The sequence below is a fragment of the Homo sapiens genome, chromosome 17 (genome assembly GCF_000001405.40).
Source record: "Homo sapiens chromosome 17, GRCh38.p14 Primary Assembly".
In the NCBI taxonomy this organism is placed as follows: domain Eukaryota; kingdom Metazoa; phylum Chordata; class Mammalia; order Primates; family Hominidae; genus Homo; species Homo sapiens.
The window spans coordinates 32,614,684-32,638,247 of NC_000017.11; the positions used below are offsets into that span (position 1 = coordinate 32,614,684).

The window sequence follows — 23,564 nt, forward strand, 5'->3', positions numbered from 1 at the left end:
TGGGCTCATCATGGAAATGGTGGAAGCTGTGGCATAACTGAGAGTTTATCCCTTTATAAGCAAGCATCTCTTGAAAGCAACAACTTGCTTGAGCCCAGAGCCCTCATGCAAGCAGGCTGATGGTCTTGAGGTGCCATGCCGTGAGGCAGCCAAACCTCTCAGAGGGGTCGTGTGCAGGTGCTCTGGTCAGCAGTCCTGGCTTGAGCTCTGCCAGCCGGGGCCAGACAAGTGAGTGTATGAGGGCTCCAGTGATTCCAACTCTCACTCACCAAGTAACCCCCACCTTCGAATCTTCCTAATGGAGGCCCTAGACATTGTGGAGCAGAGGCATGCTGGCCTCACAGTGCCTCTTTCAAATTCTTTACCAACAGAATCCAAGAACATAATAAAGTAGCGGTCGTTTCATTCCACTAAGTCTGGGGTGGATTGTTACACAGCAATAGTAATTGGAATAAAAATTTGGAACAGGAGTAGGGTGCTCCTATAACATAATCCCAGATAGTTGGCACTGGCTTTGGGAAGTAGGTGGAAGCTGGAAAGGTTCTGAGAGACTGTTGGGGGAATCATGGCAGGCCTTCAAGAGGAGGTCAGTGAGGGCCTGAGGAAAACAGGGAAAAGACTACTTCGAGCCAGAGGAAAGCGGACCTTTGTTAAGGAGAAAATTTGACAACACTGTTGCCTATGGGAAGGCAGAAAATAGAAAATGTACGTAACAAATGTGATGATCTAGATAAGGAGATTTCTAGACAGAATACTGAAAGTGCCATCTGGCTTCTTCTTGCTGTCTATGAAAAAAATGTGAGAGGAGAGAGAGGACCTTAATAAAGAATGGTTCTGCTCTCATGTAAAATTTAGAGGAAACATAAAGAAGCCTGCAATTGCTAGGCTTGAAAATAAAACTGTTTCTTATTCCCAGCTTCTCCAGATGGCAAATGATTCTCAAATTAAGAAATGGTTTCAGGGCAACGGATCAAACCCAGAGTGGGATTGTAAAATCCTTTGTTAAAACCTTAGAAAGATCGAAGGCATCCATAGTATCTTCCAGACAGACTAAACGAGGCTCTAAAGATCTTTAGGGCATGCCTTACAAATTCTATCCGATAAACAACAGGGCTCCTGAATCTTAAGGGTCTTGTCCCACAATAGCTCACGAGGAGCCCAAGGTATGGGAGAGTTTATTTTGCAGAGATTTGTGGGCGTGTTTTTTGTCTAATGGAGTGATTATAAATTGATACACAGTGAAACCATCAAAATTTCAAAGGACTGGACTGAAAGCAACATAGACATGGCAAAATGCAAAGAGGCTCTGGACCTGTGGACAGGAAGCAGCTAAGAAAGCTACTTAGTTGCAAACACAGATGGTCAGTGAGTGTTTTGTGCCCCTCATTCCCCTCCTCTTTGAACAGAAATGTCTGTGGTAGGTATCCCACCCCTAGATCATCACTGCATGTTGGGTATGCGGGGCAGGTAACTTTTCCTTTTAGTTGGTCTTCAGATTGCAGGAACTCTACTTAAGGAACTGTGCCTGGATTGAATTAGATGAGATCCTGGCCCTTGACCTTAAACCTGGTATTATAAGGAGATGAGACTTTTGGGACATCTTGGGAGTGGGTAAGCACATTCTAGTTTATTTTACTTCATTTTTTTGAGTCAGGGTCTCACTCTGTTGCCCAGGCTGGAGTGCAGTGGTGCAATGATGGCTCAAACCTTGAGCTCCTGGGCTCAAGCAGTCCTCTGCCTCAGCCTCCCAAGTAGCTGGGACTACAGGCATGTACCACCACATCTGACTAATTAAAAACTTTTTTTTTTTTTTTTTGGTAGAAATGAGGTCTTGCTGTGTTGCCCAGACTGGTCTTGAATTCCAGGCCTCAAGTGGTCCTCCTGCCTTGGCGTCCTTAAAGTGTTGGGATTACAGGTGTAACCACAGTGGTTGGCTGGTAAGTGCATTTTAAGTAAGAGTAACAAAAATAATTTTTAATCAGCGGGTAGAAAGTGGAGGATTTAAAACAAGTTTGCAAAATTTTTGCCACTCCTCCCATAGAAAGATAGAGGTCTATATCCTCACCCCTTCAATCTAGGCTTACTATATGACTGGCTTTTGACGAATAAAATGCAACAGAATTGGGGCTGTGTGACTTCTGAGGCCTGCTCATAAAAGGCAATGCAGCTTCTGCCTCGTTTAATGGGACACTCATGTTTTGAGCACTAAGTCAGCTCATAAGAAGTCCAACTACCAGCCAGTCGTGGTGGCTCATGCCTGTAATCCCAGCATATTGGGTGGATCACCTGAGGCCAGGTGTTCAAGACCAGGCTGGCCAACATGGCCATTTCTATTAAAAATACAAAAATTAGCTGGGCATGGTGGCGCATGCCTGTAGTTCCAGCTATTCTGGAGGCTGAGGCACGAGAATTGTTGAACCTGGGAGGCGGAGGTTGCATTGAGCTGAGATCACGCCACTGTACTCTAGCCTGGGCAATAGAGTAGACTGTCTCAAAAAAAGTTAATAAAAAAAATAAAGAAGGCTGACTACCTTGAGGCCACCATGTTGTGAGGAAGCCAAGCATCTCCAAAAGGCCTCATAAGGCTCTCCGGTCAGCAGTTTCAGTCTCCGAGTCCTCCCCACTGAGGTGTCAGTCACCTCAGTGAACATGCCTTCAAATGATTCCAGCCCCAGCCCTTAAATCACCCCTAGTCTTTAAGTCTTCCCAGCTAAGGCCTCAGATACTGCAGAGCAGAGAGAAGCCACCTGCTTTGCTCTTTTTTTTGAGACGGAGTTTCGCTGTTGTCTGTTGTTGGCCTGGGCTGGAGTGCAATGGCATGATCTCAGCTCACTGCAACCTCTGCCTCCTGGGTTCCAGCAATCCTCCTGCCTCAGCCTCCTAAGCAGCTGAGATTACAGGCACCCGCCACCATGCCCGGGTAATTTTTATATTTTTAGTAGATATGGGGTTTCACCATGTTGGCCAGGCTGGTCTCGAACTCTTAGCCTCAGGTGATCCACCCGCTTCAGCCTCCCAAAGTGCTGGGATTACAGGCATGAGCCACTGCTCGCGGCCCACCTATTCTGAATCACTGACCCAAGAACATATGACAGTAACAGAGAGAAACCTTAATTTTGTAAATGCATCATAGAAAGAATACATTGTTTGGGATAACTAAGAATTAATTCCTTTATAAACAGACAGTCACTTTCAAAAATTTTTTGTTATTATTTTAACACATCAGATAAACAGTAAAAATACCATATTTATAAATATTTTCCCACTTCATGAAACAGAATAAAATTCTTTTCCTTTCTTAGGGATTCAAAGTTGTTATGGTGAATGTTAATTAGTAAGTATGCTTTAAAACAGATGCATCTTCAGGGCTACTAGGCTCTCTGTGACTGCACGCCTGGATCACATGATCCAAACATCATACCAGTATGTGTGAGCCACATGCTGTTTTAATGGTAAAACAAAACCTATTTCTACAAAACATGAGCTTTGAGCAGTAATGAAAAACTGTCTTGAAACCAGTATAATCGACTTTATTCCCAAGTGCTTGTTGTGAGCCTAGTACTATTGATCAACATTATTCAGGTCAAGGAAAATAATTGTAATCAACTGATTAAAAGGGCTAAGTTTATATCATTGATTGACAAGGGCTTTCAACCCTTGATTTTAACAGCTTGATGAAAGCCACTCAGCAAAACTCTTCAGTAAGTTTCCAACACCAATTCACCTCACTGCACTGAATAAATAAAACATCTCCATATCAAACTTCAATTTCTTCCCAATATTCCACATCCTGACAGGGATCAAGGGCACCATCAAGAAGAACATTTACAACCCACATAATGTTCTCATCACAGTGGATTTGGTACTTAACAAAATTAAATACAAATTCCTCTAGAGAGTGACACACAGGAAGCTGGGCCTCCCATAGCTGCCTCTGTTAATTAATTAATTAATTCTTTTTTTTTTTTTGAGACGGAATCTTGCTCTGTTGCCCAGGCCAGAGTACAATGGCATGATCTCAGCTCACTGCAACCTCCGACTCCCGGGTTTCAGTGATTCTCCTGCCTCAGCCTCCCGAGTAGCTGGGATTACAGGCGACTGCCACCATGCCTGGCTAATTTTTGTATTTTTAGTAGAGACAAGGTTTCACCATGTTGGCCAGGCTGGTCTCAAACTCCAGACTTCAAGTGGTTCACCTGCTTCGGCCTCCCAAAGTGCTGGGATTACAGGCGTGAGTCACTGTGCCTCGCAACTCCTCCATTAATTTAAATGCTTGGTGAATTTTTCCTTTTGTTGCAAGAATCTTGTCTTCTTTTTGTTAAAATCTAAGACAAGCCAGATACTTCCCTGAGTATCTGGCAGTTTGAGTTCCTGGGCTCGTCTTGTAACTTGGAGTTCAGTAGTTTCACGAAAAATTCAATTTTAATCCCAAATAGACTGCTCTGAGGACATAGCTCAAGAAATCACTTCAACAAGTTTTTAATACCAAGCCATCTAGTGGAACTGAACTAAATCTCTGAGTCTTCCTATACTTTCAGTTTTCATATATTGCAGTCATCAATATGCCTGCCTGTGTAAGATGCTGACTTCCTTTTAATTACTGCTTCAGATTTATTGTTTTGGGCTTGGGAATGAGATAATCAAATTCATCACAAGGGTACATAAAGCAAGACAAATGGCCAAGAAGGCGCTCCTTTGGAAAGAACATACAAAGTTTACCACACAAACTCTGTCCCACCTATTTTGACTCTGTCTCATCTATTTGGGAGGTATAAACATCCTCCCATTTTCCTTCTGATTATGGTTCTTTTGGGCCAATGGCTCTCAACCATGGCTATGTATGAGAATCACAGGGAAGACTGTGATACATTTGGTCTGGTTTGTGCTGGGCATCTGCAGTTTGTAAAAGCTCCCCAAGTGATTCAAATTACACGTAACCATTGATTTAGGTAAAACTACTAAATAATTGGGTCCTAGATAGTCAAATTATTATTTTACAAAGCTAATTGTTTTACTAATTGAATCAAGCTCTATATTATCTATTTTAAATTTATTTTTTCCTCTCTCTTAAAATACCAACTTAATTAAGCTGCTTTCCTTATTAGTCTTTAATTGAATTTTTTTGACCCTCTCAGTGCAAAATAAAAAAAGATTATTCACTCATCATTTTAGGCTTATTTTCCTTATCCTATTCTGAGTCGGTGTGCAATAACAACTATTTTAGATATGATGAGTGATTTTGTATTGTATCCTGGTCATTCTGGATATTGTGTTAGGAGACTCTGGATCTTACTTAAATCTTCTCTTTTAGCAGGCTTCCACTAAAAGTGGGCCAGGAGCAGAAGGTGAGGACAAATACTTTACTGCCGGATGGGAGTGGAAGTCCAGGCCCCTCAACATGGCTTCCATTGACACCGCTCTTGTGGGGAGTATGACAGGCGCCTCATAGCCTCCAGGAGTGGGTGGAAACCTAGGCATGTCCCTCTGCTTCCACTGACATACTGAGAGGGGTTGGGTACCTCATTACCCCTAGGCTGGCTCCCCACTGAGCCTCCTTGACACCAGCCCAGCAGGGAAGGGTCAGGAGAGGGGTACCTCTTTACTGCCAGGTGAGGGTGGAGGGCTAGGCTTTTCACTAGGCCTTTGCTGATGAGAGGTGGAGGTATCTGCATATTTTCCCCCTGGTGCTTTTCTGGAGAAGGGTGCTTATTGTCAAAGGATTCTGTTTTGCTAGGTTACCCCTTTCTTGTACTTTTGGCAAGAAAGAGCAGGCTCTTCTCTGTGCCTGCTGGTGTTTCTGGATGGCGGGCTTCTCCAGCAGGCAGTCTGGGATAGAAAGGAGGCAAAAAGAAAAGCCAGGGAACCCCCCCCTGCCAAGTTCCTCCAGAGTCCTGAGGTCCCTAGCTGGTCCACTTTCCTCTCTCCAGCATTCAGAATCTTCTTAAATTTGTTTTATGATATAATGTCTAGGGTTTTTAGCTGTATTCAGTGAGACAGGTAGGGAGAAATGCATCTCTTCCATTTTGTTTAGAACTTGAAGGCCCAACTTCTTATTCTAGATAATGCCCCAAACAAATCAGAAATGTAGTTTCTCCTGCAGTGGTTTCTGATGTAGGGGGAGGAGCCAGGAGGCAAACATCACAGGCTGGAGCACACACTCCTTTTAAGAATTTGAAAAAAGCTACGAGAGCCCATCGCAAACATACACAAGTATTTGCATATACACATTGAGTATACCTTATCCAAAGTGCTTAGAACCAGAAATCTTTTAGAGTTTGCATTTTATTCAGATTTTGGAATAGTTGCATATATAATGAGATATCTTCAGGACGGAACCCAAGTCTAAAATGACATTCATTTATGTTTCCTATAAATCTTATATACATAACCTGAAGGTAATTTTATTTTTCCCTTGGGGACGTTGAATAAGCTGTGCTGTGTGCCTGCGTTTTCACTGTAACCTGTCACATGCGGTCAGATGTGGAATTTTCCACTTGTGGCGTCATATTGGTGCTCAAAAAGTTTTGGAATTTGGAGAGTTTTGGATTTTGGATTAGGGATGCTCAGCCTGTACGTATGAGCCTCCTCAAACGTTTCCTTGTCCTGAAAAGCCATTTCTGCCATATTCTGCACCCTCTCATAGAACTTCATGCTCACCTTTGCTTTTGCATTTAACAAGCTGCACTGTGATTATTTTTGTTTGCATTTGCCTCTCCCACTAAACGACAAGCAGAAGCTGCATCTTCTCGTCCTTATTTCCCTCCTTACCTGCCAGGTAAGTGGTAGATGATAGAATTTATTGAATGTGTGGAAGACAGTAAAAGCTATGGATGGATTAAAAAGGTTCTCCTAGCTTAGAAGACTGATGGTTCCCATGTGTTCCTTATCAAAGCCAACCCTTAATTACAGCCTTAAAAGCTTTATTCTTACTGGTTACCTTGCAGGTACTTTCTCCTTTCTCTCCTCATGCCCCTCCCCAAGCTCTTGTCCACGGCTTCCAAATCCATGTCTCTGCTAAGGACTGAGAATGTCTGTGACCTCCCATATGTTGAAACCCTAATCCCCAGTGTGATGGTATTTGGAGGTGGGGCCTATGGGAGGTAATTAGGTCATGAGGGTGGAGCCCTCATGCTGGGATTAGTGTCTCTATAAGAAAAGACAGGCCAGAACCTGCTTCCTCCTCTCTTCCCCATGTGAGGATACAATGAGAAGGCAGCCAGTCCTCTGTGAACTGAAAGGAAAGCCCTCACCAGAGCTCAAACATGCTGGCACCCTGATCTTGGACTTCCAGCCTCCAGACTGGGAAATAGATTCCTGTTGTTTAAGCCACTCGGTCTGTGGTTTCTTGTTACAGCACCCCATGCTAAGACAGTCTCCATCCTAGGTTGCTCTTTGACTGTGTATTGGGCCTTGCCTCAAATGAAGCCCATTTGAGACTGACCTTTCTCACACTCTGCTACCACATCCCTGCTTCTTTTCCTGTATTTCCCATCTTGGTGAGTCACCAGCACCAAAGCCTGTTGTTCTCGCACATAAACAGGTCTTGAACCCATCTCCCCCTCTTTATGGTCCTTGCTTGAGTACAGGTCCTTGTAATTTCTTAAGCAGCATCTTAACTGCTTTTCCTGTCACCAGTCTTGACCTCTCCAGCTCAACCATCAACACTCATTTATTGAACACCTACTGTATGGCAGGCAGTGTTCTGGGAACAAGAGAGTCCCCGACCCTTCTCCCATGGAGTCTATGTTCTAATGGGGGTGTGGGGGAGCCAGACTGAAAAGAACTCTAATAATGTGACAGGTGGTGATGTGGCCTGTGAAGAAGAATAAAGTGTGTAAAGGCATACAGAGGGATAAGATGGAGCTGAGGGTATCATTCTGAACAAGCCTTTTAAAGTTATATTTGGGCAGAGGCCTGAATGAAGTAAGGAAGCCATTCAGTTATCTGGGAGAACACTCCAGGGGAATGAAAACCGAGATCAAAGATTAGACAGTGAGGGCACTGAAAGCTGACTTCATCCGACTCTGATTTCTACAGGCATGGGATTGCCAGTTTGCAAGGGGGCAAAGAGCAGTTTCTAATTCTAGAGCACCTGACTATGTGATAAGAACGATGCTGAGGACTTTCCACGCATTATTTCATATACCTCATTTTGGGCCTCAACATTCAACTGAGATGGGTGCTACTGTTAAAATGGGGCATGAATTCAACAACCACCCATCTGCTTCCAAATATCCTAACACTTGTGTTGCCAGACCCCACTGGGGTGTGATTTTTCTTTTGTCCTTTACCATTTATGGTGTAATGATCTTTAAATGCAATATAAGATATTTTTACAACTCAACAAGATTTGTGAAAGGCTATCAGAGGGGATGGTAAGGGCGGACATCAGAGGTGGCTCCCAAGAAGCAGAATGGCTGCTCAACAGGAGCCAAAGTAGTAGTTCAGCTAACTCAGGAGAGAGGACCCTGAGCCTGTCAACTTTACTTGTTCCCACTAGATATACCTCTAACCATGGCACACTGTAAAGAGGTCTATGCTTAGATATGGTTCCAATAAAATGAAATCCTTCTAATGTTTATTATATTAAAAAAATCAGATTCCCCCTGTAGTGCAGAACTTCATCGTAACAATTCTGTGTAAAGAAAGTTTGTTCTGGACCTCAGCCAATAACAAAGAAACAAACTCATTTATTTAATGGCTACAGTCCAGGACCAGTATAGGCCACCTCCCAGTGGTATGTGTGTGGTAGTGGTGGGGATGGGGGGTCGTTGCTAAGTGAGACAATATATGCAGAGGTCCACTATAAGGAATGAAAATCATCAAATATAAGGTGATTTCTTTATCTTATACTACTCTTGTTTAAGGAAAATCTTTTGATGAGACTGTCCTCAAACATTAAACCATGGTCAATGACTTAAAGAAAATTTAATTTTTGATACAGATACGCGATCATGAGGCTTTCTAGAAAACACACACTCTCTCCAACTCTGTCTCAGTCCATTTAGGTGGCTATGACAAAATACCATAAACTGGTGGCTTATAAACAACAGAGATTTACTCCTCACGGTTCTGGAAGCTAGAAGTCCGAGATGAGGGTGCTGGTGGCCCTCGTCCAGGTTGCAGACTGCCAACTTCTCGTAGTGTCCTCACATGGCAAAAGGGCGAGGGTCTCTCTGGGGCCTCTTGTATAAGTCGATAATCCCATTATGAGGGTAGAAACCTCCCAAAGGTCCCATCTCCGAGTTCCATCACTTTGGGGGTTAGGATTTTGACATATGAATTTTGGGGGAACACCTTCAGACCTTAGCACTCTGTGTCTCTCTGTCTCTCTCTCACACACATATACGTAAGTGATAAAAAACTCTAATGGCAGAACTGAATTTGGGAGCAAGTCCAACTTTTAACAGATGTTTCCAAGGAGCCAAAACAACAAAAGTGAAAAAATTTGGGGAACAGAATAGATAAGTGGTTCTCATCTCTGGCTGCATAGTGCAGTCACCTAGGAAGCTTTATTTTATTTTTTCTTTAAGTTTTTTTTTTTTTTTTGTAGAGACAGGGTCTTGCTATGTTGGCCAGGCTGGTATTGAACTCCTGGGCTCAAGCGGTCCTCTCACTTTGGCTTCCCAAAGTGCTGGGATTATAGGTGTTAACCATTGCGCCCGGCCGGCCTGGGGAGCTTTAATGCTTGCTGATGCCTAGCTCTACCAGCAGAGATTTGATTTCATGCATCTGGAGTATGACCTGGGTATCAGTAATTTTAAGAACTCTCCAGGCCATTCTAATGTGCAGCTAAAGTTGAGAACCCCTGAGTTAAGACTACTAACATACTAACATTTTTTATTTGGCTTTAAAAGTGAAAACTAAATAAAATAAAAATCAGATCTTCTAAATAGCAGGTTAACAGTAAAACCACTATATTTTTTCTGGCCTTCTTGAGACTGTAGTAGTACCTTTTCTTCTTTGAGGAGGCAGGATTGCAATTGAGAGAAACAAACTGTACAAATAAAAGTATAACGTGGCAGCTCTCTTTAAAGGTGCTGTTTTTTCCCCCCTAAAAGAAATGAAGATATTTTCTTTTTCTTGTTTTCCTTTTTTGTATCTTTTTTTTTTTTTTCTTCTTTGAGACAGAGTCTTGCTCTTGTTGCCCAGGCTGGTATGCAATGGCGCGATCTTGGCTCACTGCAACCTCCGCCTCCCGGGTTCAAGCGATTCTCTTGCCTCAGCCTCCCGAGTAGCTGGGATTACAGGCACCTGCCACTATGTCCAGCTAATTTTTGTATTTTTAGTAGAGATGGGGTTTCACCATGTTGGCCAGGCTGGTCTTGAACTCCTGGACTCAAGTGATCTGCCTGCCTTGACCTCCCAAAATGTTGGGATTACAGGCGTGAGCCACTGTGCCCAGCCCTTTTTTGTATCCTAATGGACCATACCTTCGGAGCTCCTGATATGCAGACCAGGGCCAATACAAACACTCTCATCTTGATTATTCAGTTTCCTGCGGGCATACAAGTCACTAATCCTCAAAAGGTTAAGACAAACTATTTTAGAAAGCTATTATTAATGTAAGAAAGACTTAAATAGATAAATAAAGAAAATGAGAGAGAGAGAGAGAGCAACTTTGGCAATTAAGTTAGGTAGAAAGATACCTAATTTTGTGGCTACCTCTGGCTCTGAGATTAGAAGAACCTGCACTGAAACATTGCGCTAGTGGTCAACTTCTCTGAGAATTTATTTCATCTATAAAATGAGACTTCCTGCCTGGGATTCTTACAGTGATTGAGATATAGTCTGGTTAAATCATTTAAGAAACACCTGGCATGACACATGCGATGAATGTTAGTTCTGTTATTTCTTTCCTCTTAAAACAGGATTTTTTTTTTTTAAATAGGGTCTCGCTCTATTGCCCAGGCTGGAGTGCAATGGTGCGATCTTAGCTTACTGCAACCTCTGCCTCCTGGGCTCAAGCAATTGTCCTTCCTCAGCCTCCTGAGCAGCTGGGACTACTGGTTAATTTTTGTATTTTTTGTAGAGATGGGGTTTCACTATGTTGCCCAGGCTGGTCTCAAACTCCTGAGTGCAGGTGATCTGCCTGCTTCAGCTTCCCAAAGTGTTGGGATTACAGGTGTGAGCCACTGCTCTGGGCCCCAAACAGGATTTTAGTTTCATGTGTTATCTGTCAAAGGGAGGGGCAGGTAGCAGGTGGCTGTTGGAACTGGCCTAGGTCAAACACACTTGGGATTAGGGGCTAGGTCACACACACAAATGATGAAGCCCAGCTCCATTCTTGGTGAGCTTTGTGACCTGGGCAGATTGCTTCACCTTTCTGAGCACCAGTTTTCTCTTCAGAGCAAGGTATTACTGTGCTGTGCACCTACGGGGCTGCCACAGTGAGCAACCTAGGCACTGTGCCGATGGACTGGTGGCTTCCCTGTCTCTCCCACGGGTCCACAAGGCTTGTAGGCAGAGGCTACGTGATGTATGCTCGCACCACCAGTGCCTGCCAAATGCACAGCACATGGGAGGTGCTCCAAAATGTTTACTGAATAAAAGAGAGCTCTGATAAAGACAGCTGTCTAAAGGAAGCCTATTATTGCCGCAGCTTAGTGACATCTATTTCTGCAAATGTAGAGATGTAAAAAATATATACATCTCCGTGTATGGCTTTGTTTTAAAGCCATCTTGCCTCTAGCAATCTGACCTCTGGATAAATTAAGGTGGTACTGTACTAATTTGCTTACACTTTAGTTCTTAAAAGGCATTGTGTTTCTTTAACAACGTTAAATTGGCCCTAGTGGTTGGTGCTTTCAGACGTTGCTTTGAGACATCTTTTACATATGAAATTGAATTTCCAAGTACAGTACTGATGAAAATGGACTCTACTTTGTGCCCAAAAGCAGTGACTTTTGGTACTATAAATCGTTTGCTTATTGGTCAGATTTTTGCACATGTAAGGAAAAACACATTAAAAAAAAGAAAGCAGTTTGCTTAGTAGCGTTTGGCATAAGCAGCTGTCTCTAACCAGTGTAACAAAAGGCGTTTGCTTCTGAACACATGTCAGGAAAACCATCAACGGGGGAGCTCTGAAATTCTGACTTCTTTCTCTCTTATTAACAAAAAAAGAGAGAGAATGTGGCTTAGTCGTCACATTTCTTAGAAGTATTTTAAAACGACGTGGCTCACTCAAATCCAATAATAAAGTCATTGAGTGTTAAAAAGAAATTATAAGAGGCGGGGAAAGAATGTTTCATTGCCAAAGCCATCAGAATAAGAAAAAAATTTCATCTGTATTTTTCTAAATTTCTCTATAATATAGACATTACTTTTTTTCTAAGAAGAGAGGTTTCCAAATATCTAATTTTGCTAAGTGGCTCTCTTTGTTATAACACGCAGAACTATAAACATTGTGCAAGATGTTTAAAATAATACAGCTCCCAGGACTACTGAGAATTAATTAGGAAGGTAAATTTATTACCTAAATAAATTAATAAAGCTGAGTGCCACTCAAGGTCTGACATTAAGGGATTATATACTTTCCATTAAAGAGAACTAATAAATATAGTTGAAAGGATTGAGGGAGGGCCGAGGGAGTGAGTAGGCTAGCGCACACCAGCACAGGCGGTGCCAGACGTCAGCTGACTGTATCCATTGAGGTTACCATGGAAACCCCTTCCTTTGGGACACTGCCATGAGGGTAGGGTGCTTTAGAAATGGTGATGGGGCACAGACCGGCGGGCGGATGGATTTCAGCAGGGTTCACCCTGTACGCATTACAAGGACAATCCATCTTCCAAACGAAATGATATCTTTCTAGCAAGTCACGTCAAATAGAGCAATAAAGCATGAAGTCTGGCATAATTACAGTCCATTTACCTTTACAAAACAGTCACATCGGTTCAGATAATTGTCTCTTTTCTCTCCCCTGCTTGCTTTGTATTCTCCACAGAACGAAAGGAGGTATTTGTGCAATTAATTGGCTGCTTCCTTAGTCATCAAGCCCATACTGATAAAAAGGGACTATATCAAAACAACATTCATGGGCAGATTCAAACATTCTTCAGACCAAACACATCATGACTCAACAACAAAAGAAGGGTAAGAAGAATTCTAGCTGAGGTAAGGTTATATGTTTCGGTTACTGTGCTCTCACTCAAAACTGGCAAACAGATTTTTTGTTTACGCAAATTAAACTCAATCTTGGCAACCTGCTCCATGGATGCTGGTTTGGGAGGACTAATGTCCACATGAACTCTAGTGGCAGAAGTGCATTTATTCAAGCAACATGCTTCAGCCACGGGGAGCAATCTTTCCCACCAATTTACAGTGATCTCTAGTATGATTTTCAAAGAGATTGTGATCAAAGTTTTGGACACAATATTGCTAATTATGTAGGCTATTTCTTGCTTCTGTTTTCCATATCAAGCCTCAGCAACCACAAGTCCCCCAGCTCACAAAACATTCAAATTCTGACCCTACTGTCCCTGTAAAAATTTTAACCTTTGTTAACAATTTTACAACTAATGCTTTAATTCAATATTACATACAAATATACCTGGTGACTCAAAGGGGATGATGCCAATTTGACAATAATGCAGATTCCAGTTGGCTGAAACCCTAACCTTAGTGTGCAATATTTATACATAGAAAGGGGTCACCCGTAACTTAATGTTTCATGTTGTTTACAATTATATGACCATGCCATTTGTGAGAACAGTGTTTGCTGAAAAGAGTCTCAAAAACCTGTCACGATTTCCTGTTTTTATCTTTCCTGTGTGACTAGAACCATCATTAAATGGTAAATTGAATAATTCTCGCTAATGGAAGAGGGGGAAAAAGTGCCAAATTCAGCTTTTAATTATGTTTGCTTAGGCTTACATGAAGATCAAGCTTTGTCTCCTGAAAACAAACCAACTAATGACAAAGAGTGAAGAGATGGTTCTCATAAAGATTAATTGATAATCCAGTGTGTACTGAGTTATATATTTTAGGATAATAGAAAAATACATGATACAACTACATACCTATTAGAATGGCCAAAATAAAAAAAAGACACTATCAAATACTGATGAGGATGGGAAGTAACAGAAACTCATTAATTCCTGGTGGAAATGGAAAATGATACAGCCACTTTGGAAAATACTGGCAGTTCTTACAAAGCTAAATTTAGTCTTATCACAGGATTGAGCAATAGCACTCCTATTTATTCAATAGATTTAAAAACTTGTGTCCATACAAAAAACCTGCTTGCAAATGTTTTTAGTAGCTTTATTCATAGTTGCCAAAAAGTGGAAGCAATCAATAGGTGAATGGAGAAACAAATTACGGCACCTCCATATAATGAACTATTTCTTGACTAAAAAAACAAAATGTGCCAACAAGCCATGGGAAGACATGACGGAACCTTAAAGGCCTACTGCTAAGTGAAAGAAGACAATCTGAAAAGGCTACATTCTGTATGATTCTAATTATATGACATTCTAGAAAAGGCACAACTGTAGAGACAGTAAAATGATAGTGGTTCCCGTAGGTTCAGGGGAAAGAGGGAAAGGAATGAACAGGTTACGCACACAGGATCTTTAGAGCAGTGAAACTGTTCTGTGTGATACTGTAATGGTGGATACATGACACTATACATTTGCCAAAACCTACAGAACTCAACAGCATCAAGAGTGAACCTTTGTGGGCAACTTAAAAAAAATTAGGAGGTTGGGGGGTTTCAGGAAGGAATGCAAAATGTGACAAGAGAATCCACTTATATTAAAAAGTATGGGCCAGGCACAGTGACTCACGCCTGTAATCCCAGCACTTTGGGAGGCCAAGGCAGGTGGGTCATGAGGTCAGGAGTTTAAGACCAGCCTGGCCAAGATGGTGAAACCTCGTCTCTACTAAAAATACAAAAAAAATTAGCCAGGCGTGGTGGCGGGCGCCTGTAATTCCAGCTACTCGGCTGAGGCAGAGAATTGCTTGAATCCGGGAGGCGGAGGTTGCACTGAGCCAAAATTGCGCCACTACACTCCAGCCTGGGTGACAAAGCGAGATTTCATCTCAAGAAAAAAAAAAAAAAAGGTATCAATCTCACTGAAGAGGGCGGAAAGAAAAGGTGCTGACCTAGGTAACTTTGGAAATGAGTGGAGTGTGTAAGACTAAAGGGAAAAGGAAGTGCATGTAGCACTGTACTCTATTTGATAAAGTCGTGCCTCACAGGAGTACAGGTTAACAATTCTGATACTGCTATGCATGGATACTGGAAATGAACAATTAGGTAAATGGACAGTGGATGGTGCAAGCCAGGTTTCTCACTTTTGGACAGGGAATTTAAAGATAAGCGATGGGGGAAGGCTAGAATGACTCATGTGGTCATGGACTAGAGTGAGAGACACTAGTATAAACTCATGTTTAACTTCATATAAAGATGGTCACATATAAAAATATTTATAAAGATGTGTATATACACAGATTATACACATATATTTCTGTCCTGTGCCAGCTGAGAGGACCTAAAAGAAATGAATCCCCGGTAGCAACAAGCACATCTAGTATTCAGATCTGTTTCTTTCTTTTGTAGAGACAGTGTCTCACTATTTTACCCAGGCTGGTCTCAAACTCCTGGGCTCAAGCAATCTTCCCATCTTGGCCTCCCAAAGTGCTGGGATTACAGACGTCCAGCCTAGTAATATTCTAACACAGGATTATGTGATGATTGCACAACTGCATAAATTACTAAAAATAACTATAACTTACAATGGGCAAATTTTATGGTATGTAAATATATTAGTTTGCTAGGGCTGCCATGATAAAGTATCACAGACTAGGTGGCTTAAACAGCAGAAATGTATTTCCTTGAAGTTCTGGAGGCTGGAAGTTTAAAATTAAGATGTTGGTAGAGTTGTTCCTCCTTTTTTTTTTTGAAATGGAGTCTCGCTCTGTTGCCCAGGCTGGAGTGCAGTGGTGTGATCTCGGCTCACCGCAAGCTCCGCCTCCTGGGTTCACATCATCCTCCTGCTTCAGCCTCCCGATTAGCTGGGACTATAGGTGCCTGCCGCCACATCTGGCTATTTTTTTTGTATTTTTAGTAAAGATGGGGTTTCACCTTGTTAGCCAGGATGGTCTCAATCTCCTGACCTCGTGATCCACCCGCCTCAGCCTCTCAAAGTGCTGGGATTACAGGCATGAGCCACCACGCCCTGCCGGTAGAGTTGTTCTTCTGACGGCTTCTCTCCTTGCCTTGTAGATGGCTGTCTTCTCTCTGTCTTCACATGGCCTTCCCTCTGTACCTATGTTGTAATCTCCTCTCATGTGGACACCAGTCATACTGGATTAGGGCCCACTCTTAAGATCCCACTTTAACTTAATTACTACTTTAAAGACCCCATCTCCAAATACAGTCACTTTCTGAGGTACTGGGGGTTTGGACTCTGATATATAAATTTTGGGGGAACACAATTCAGTCTGTAACAGTGAATTATACCTCAAGAAAGCTATTTTAAAAAGTCAATATGATGGGAAAAAAACAGGGTAGGGGTATATGTGAGTGGAAGTGCAGTGTGGACTAAAACAGACCAGAGATGTAACTACCAAGTGCCATATGATGGAATAATTTTACTTCTACATATGTAAATGTGAACCTACACAGAATTCTGTTATTAAAAAAACAGGTTTAAAAGGCAGTCTTTGGCTAGGTGTGGTGTGGCTCATGCCTGTAATTCCAGCACTTTGGGATTTGAGGCTGAGGCAGGAGGATTGGCTGAGGCCAGGAGTTCCAGACCAGCTTGGGCAACGTGAGACCCTGTCTCTACAAAAAAAATTTTCAAAGTTTAGCCAAGAGTAGTGGCGTGCATCTGCAGTCCTAGCTACTTGGAAGGCTGAGGAGACAGGAATGCTTGATCCCAGGAGTTTAAGGCTGCAGTGAGTTATGATTGCACAACTGCACTCCAGCCTGGGCAACAGAGCGAGAACCCGTCTCTTAAAAAAAAAAAAGGTAGTCTGAACAACTGGGGAAATTTAAATATGTACTGAATATTAGATGATATTATGGAAATATTAATATTTTAGATATGAAAATGGTATTGTGGTTATGAAGGAGAATGTCCTTATTCTTCGGAGATGCACACGTGTATTTCAAGGGTGAAGTGTCACAAGACAGAAATAAAACACATATGGCAAAAAATAAGGCCTTAGTGAATATAGGGGTGGGGAACATGGGTGTTCCCTGTGCTATTCTTTCAAACTCTGTTAGTTTGAAATTTTTCATAATAAAAAGTCAGAGGGATAGAATTAGCAGTGAACTCTGAGGGAACAGAATGCTCTTAAGTTAGGAAAGATTTGCTTATCAGAGATTTCCTTTATTCCCTTCCTTCCTTGCTAACTAAAGTAGAAAATATATTCTCCTAAAGCTTGCACCCAATTATAGCTCCTTATAAGTGAGTGAGAAATGGTTAGTGTCTATCTCTGCTCCATAAAGTCTAGAATAACACATAACATAGATTTTGAGTTTTTAAAGTTTGGCATGGAGGAGGCCAAGGAGTCTGGTTATAGCTCACTTCAAATAACAAATGACAAGACCTCTTTTAATAAGAGTAGCAGACTGGAAACCTGGGGCTGAATATGGCCTATAGACATGTTTTTTTTATTTGGCTTGCAAGGCATTTTAAAGTTAGTTCATAATACTTAACAATTAGGAGATTTCACATAAAATGCAGACTTCTGATTTTTCTAGGCATATCCAAAGCTTTGGCCCAGTGGATTCAGGCATGGCCCAAACCTTTTGGAGCGGAGTGGCGGCTGCCGTGTCATGAGGTATATGCTGCATTCGTGTATGTGCCCATCTGACTCCTAAAGGCATTTGACTTCATGAGAAAGAAAACATGCAAACTTAAGTACTATATATATATATATATATATATACACACACACACACACACACACACACACACACACACACACATATATATATATATAAATAGGCAAATAGGAAGCTGTCCTTTCTGACAGAATTCCTTTTACCATCATCCCCCGCTCTTTTTCCCTTCATATGGTTGTGGCAAATGACAGTGTTATGTTGGGAGGAGGTAAGACGGAAAGGAGGGTATCTGGGAATTTATTGTAATTTTTGGGTTCATAATACCTTTGTCCAACAGTAATCAAAACAGTAACTGGCACAAGGATATCTAACAGACCAATAGAACAGAGCAGAGAATCCGGAAGAGGTGTATGGACACTCGGTTTATGACAAATATGGCACTGAAGAGCAATGGAGAAAAATGATCTCCCCCGCACAGAACACAAAAGCACACTTACCACAAATTACTATCTATGTAGTAATTTAAAAACATACTACCAAACTACTCATGGCTTAAAGAGGAACTCACAATGGAAATCACAAAATAATTAAAACTGAACAACAAAGGTAGTATCACACATGTGAAGTTCAGCTCAAGCCATTCTTAAATACAAATTTACAAATTCAATGAATTTTTAAGACTAAATTTAAAAAAAAAACAGTTAAGCCCCCAACTAAAAAGGCTAGAAAAAGAACAACCTAAAGAATGAAGAAGGAAAAAATAAGAGCAGAGGTAAATGAAAAGATAACAAAATCAATAAGAGAGACAGACCTACAGCAAAACTGATCTTGGAAGAAATGAGAAAAAGTACATATAATCAATATTAGGAACACAAAGGAGTATATACCTATAGGTACAATGAAGAGCTCTTCACTCTAGTGTTTCACACATCCCTCTCTTTAAGTACACTGAAATCTCCCCCAGGCTTGAGTGATCATTTAACTAATTTGCTTCACTTTCCTCTTTACTTACATCCTCCTCTTACCCCCTTCATAGATAGCTTGCTTTCTTCTTCTTTTTCTTCTCTTTCTCCTCCCATTTTTATTAGGGTATAACATGCATGCCCTAGAGTGCACAAATCTCAAGTAAACAGCTTGATGAGTTCTTACAAATGTATACATCTGTGAACCCCCCACCAGATCAAGCTATTACACATTTCCAGCCCCCACCCCCATCCCAGAAGGCTCCTTCCTCCCTGCTCGTGTCTCTGTGTCTTTGCTGTTCCTTCTGTCTAAAATACTTTCCACCAAGTACACGTACGGTTCATTCCTTAACTCCTTCAAGTCTTTGCTTAAATGTCAACTTCTCAGTGAGGCCTGGTCACCCTATTTAAACTTACAACACACCTCACACGTTCTATCTTCTTTCCTGATTTTATTTTTTCCCTTATCACCTTCTATGGACTATATCATGTGCGTATGTATATACATACACACACATATACTTTTCCCCATTGGAATGTAAATTCCAAGACTTGCAGAGATTTTGCCTGTTTTGACACCTCTATGTTCCTAATACATATGTGGCTGGCATATAATGAACACTTAGTAATTATCTGAATTGAATGGTTTAGTTATTGAGGGTGTGATGTATAGATGATCTGATGTATAACTGCCTAAAATCCCAAAGAAGGTAATTTCTAGACTGTCATTCTCTCTGACCCAGATGCAATTTAAAATCGCCCATCTCCTGTCTACTCGAGGTCCCTTAAGTCTCTGTTCATTACAACTCAAAACCTAGCAGGAAGAAATGAGCACCAGGATGCTGCAAAAAGCAACTCTCAAGAGGGGGTGTGCAATTGGCTGCAGCATCTCAACAAGGAGGGGCAAAGGAGGATTGCTCCACCCAGTGTGGAAAGCCAGCAGTTCATGGTCTGTACGGAGGAAGATGTTACTTAACCTATCACTGGTGACCCATGGGAGATGGCTGGTGTGCCCATTAAAGTTAGTTGCTGATTTATAGAAGTTCAATGCATTAGGAGATGTAAGGATAGTGGGATTGGATGGGTATTTTTTATAGTGCATTAGGAAAACAACAAATATTGGTCCCATAGTGCGTGGCTGGAGGCAGTTAAGGAAACAGAGGAACCACTTTCTGCTGAAAGCACTCATGAAGACTACGTTCAAGAATGATTAGACAAACTACCAAATTGCAACATCAGCTGAGTTTTCACCCATCCTGGAGATTCATGAGCACAATTTTAGGTCCTGTTTGACAAAGACTGGGATGCTGGCAATTGGAGTGGGAGTAGCTGGGAAGAATCCAAGGACCTAGGATGCCTGGCCAACCTGGCCTATCTGAAGCACTTCTCTTCTGCTCCTTTCTGCTGGGAAAACCCAATGACCCGCCCCAATATTCAGCGTGATCTGTGACCAAGGTCCAAATGTGGCTTGGGCCTAAGGATGACAGTGATAAATAGTGGAGGGAGGAGATCAGTTATACCCCAAAATGAATAGTAGGAATTATCCATGCCATACCAGAAAAAGTAAGGAAAGACTATGCATAGATTTGCAAGCATTCGGCATGAACAAAAGTACCGATCTGGATCACCCAGCATTGGTTGCTATGGCGAGGCCTCATCTGAGACACTGTGTTCAATATGTTACTGCAAGATGAAACTCTAATGGTTTGCTGAGTTGGCTGACTCAGACCTTAGCCTAAAGCTGACCCATGCTGTCTAGCAAGAAAGAAGTAACTGTGAGTAAGAAGATAGACAAAGAGAAAAAGAGAAAGAATGGCAGAAACATAGGCTATGCAAAACTCAGGTTGTGGAGGAGGCTAAACGATAGCAGGGTCCCTTAAAGCTGCCTTAAAACCTGAATGGTAGCATTTCCTGGGTTTCCATGGGATTTGATTCCCTTACTACCCTGGTACCTTTACTAAAATAAAAAATGGGGCCAGGCGTGGTGGCTCATGCCTGTAATCCCAGCGCTTTGAGAGGCCAAGGTGGGCAGATCATGAGGTGAGGAGCTCAAGACCAGCCTGGTGAAACCCCATCTCTACTAAAAATACAAAAAAAATTAGCTGGGCACGGTGGCAGGTGCCTGTAATCTCAGCTACTTGGGAGGCTGAGGCAGGAGAATTGCTTGAACCTAGGAGGCGGAGGTTGCAGTGAGCCGAGATGGCGCCACTGCACTCCAGTCTGGGTGACAGAGCAAGACTCCGTCTCGGGTGGCGGGGGGGTGGAAAGAAACATTACTTAAGACAGAATGCGCTTACAGTCTGTCCTTGGAGCAAGAAAGGACTAACTAAAACAGGAAAGGAGCCTCTATAGAAGGAGAAATGAAAGGTGGAGAATGAGAGAAGTATGGATGCCCTTAGCTATGCCCTGTATGTTTTTATTGACTACTCTTATTTCTGAAAACTTTCCGATTTGATTTTGAAACATGATGTTCCCATAGTTTTTTTCTTTCGTAGAATAATTTAAAAAGTATAGAACTGAAGGGAAATTAGAGCTCATTTAGTCCATTAAAAGAGAGATGAGAAAATGGAGGTCCATAAAGAAATTTCCTTTTTATTCCATTTCCTTCAGTGATTCTCTTTTTCCCACCATTTAACTGTGGATGTTTTTGAATAATCCACCCCCTTTCTCTCTCTCGACTCATAATTTCAGCCTCCAACTATACATGAGTCCACTCTTAAATCTGAAGTGATGAATTCTTTCCCACTCTATACCATCAGACTTCCAACTATCTATGGAAAGTATACTTGTACGTTTCACAAAAACCTCAAATTCAATATGGTTAAAATTGAAATCACTTTCCTTCATCCCCTCCCAGCTTCTCCAACACTATTATTAGCATCATCATGTTTTAAAAAGGTTCTTTATCTTAAACTTTGTTTTTAATTTCAAAATATTTCAATCATACAGAAAAGTATAAATAATAATATAACAAATACTCATGTCCCTATCATCCACACCTAATATTCTGACATATTTGCTTCAGACTTAAAAACAATGACAGGTCTAGTTGGAAGTTCCCCATCACATCGAACTTGCTCCCTCTGAAAAGGTGGCTGCCCTTCTGAAGTTAGTTCCACCCAGAAGCAGACCCTGAGATAAAGGCTGATGAGTATACAGAGTTGATTTGGGAGGTTCAGGCACACTGGCAAGGAAGTGGGGAGAGAAGGCAGCCACCACTGTGGGCAAGTTTACTCCTGCAGGGAAGCTCTAGGAGATGGTGTGAGACAGCCTGGAACTGTCTTGGCCAATGAGTGATGGAGATGGAGTATTTATACCCCACACTTATCACACAATGAGTGCCTAGGCACTTCCAGCCCTCTGTGAGTAAGGGCAAAGCAGGTTTGGCAGCCTGAGGGCAGCTTTTTGACAAAGATGTTGGCTGCTGGAAATCAGGCTGGTATGCACAAATATGGTATGGGAATACGAGACGGTATGGGCAGGGTGTTGACAGCATCTGCAACGGGGTGTATCCATCCCACTGACGTTTTACCTTTACTACTGTAGTTAAACATTGTTAGTTTTTATGATGTCATGATATTATTAATAACAATTAGCAATGATAATGATGAAGATAAAGGGAAACAGTGACTATAAAAACCAGTTGACATGAATAAGGGAAAACAGCTTCGGTTCAAAGAGCTGTTTAACTATTTATTGAATTTATATCATGTGCCTGATGAATCTCCCCTTAATAGAAAGCAAGGAAAAGGAACAAAACACATACCACAATTAATTTTTTTGGTTTCACACTTCTTTAGACTTGGACAAAATATGATTTTCTGCCTCATCTATCTTCATCTCCTACTTCAAGATTGGAGGGTTATTAGGCTTAAACTGTAACTGCAATAGAAGATTATAAGTCTATATATAAGAAGACTATATATAATCAAGAGTGTTTTAGGGCTGGGTGTGGTGGCTTATGCCTGTAATCCCAGCACTTTGGGAGACCACAGCGGGTGGATCACTTGAGGCCAGGAGTTTGAGACCAGCCTGGTCAACTTGGCGAAACCCCTCATCTCTACTAAAAATACAAAATACCTGGGCATGGTGGCGTGCACCTCTAATCCCAGCTACTCAGGAGGCAGAGGCACAAGAATCACCTGAACCTAGGAGGTGGAGGTTGCGGTGACCTGATATCGTGCCACTGCACTCCAGCCTGGGGGACAGAGTCAAACTGTCTAAAAAATAAATAAAATAAAATAAAAAAGAGTGTCATATCATTTTAGCCTTAGTTGCAATCTATTGGCCTTTCTATTGAAAGGAAAAAAGGTGTGTGTGTGAGGGGGTTGGGTGAGGGGTGCATAGTGAAGACGGATCTCCACCCCATAGTCTAAATCATTCTAAAGCATTCAGCAAAGCCAGGAATAGTTTGTCTTCCTTGTACCTTATAACTAAAAGGACCCCTGACTTAGCAAAATAAAACTGTAAAACAATATGTTTCCTATTCCCTCTTGCAGCAACCAAAAGGATTTAAAATATTCTCTAAGTAATACTCCTCATAGTTCCCAGTATTAGACAAACACAGTCTTCCTTCTTTAACAACTAACAGAGGAAAATCACCTGACACGTGAAAAGATCCAATATTCCGGTAGGATCTTTCCGAAGAATCAGAATAAACAGTCACTTGTAAAGCAGACTCTATTAAGAAGGACAAATTACAAACAAACAAACTCATATTGCGATTCAAGGAGATACCCACGAAATTTCGTATTTCAAATAAAAAATGATAACGGAATTAGAAAACTGTATGGTTATAGTGA

General features: G+C 41.7%; 1 protein-coding gene across 5 annotated transcripts in view; it reads right to left on the reverse strand.

Moving 5' to 3' along the window:
- The window catches only part of MYO1D (myosin ID), a 384,603-nt gene that overhangs the window by 122,162 nt on the left and 238,877 nt on the right, over positions 1-23,564 (reverse strand). The window lies entirely within an intron of this gene.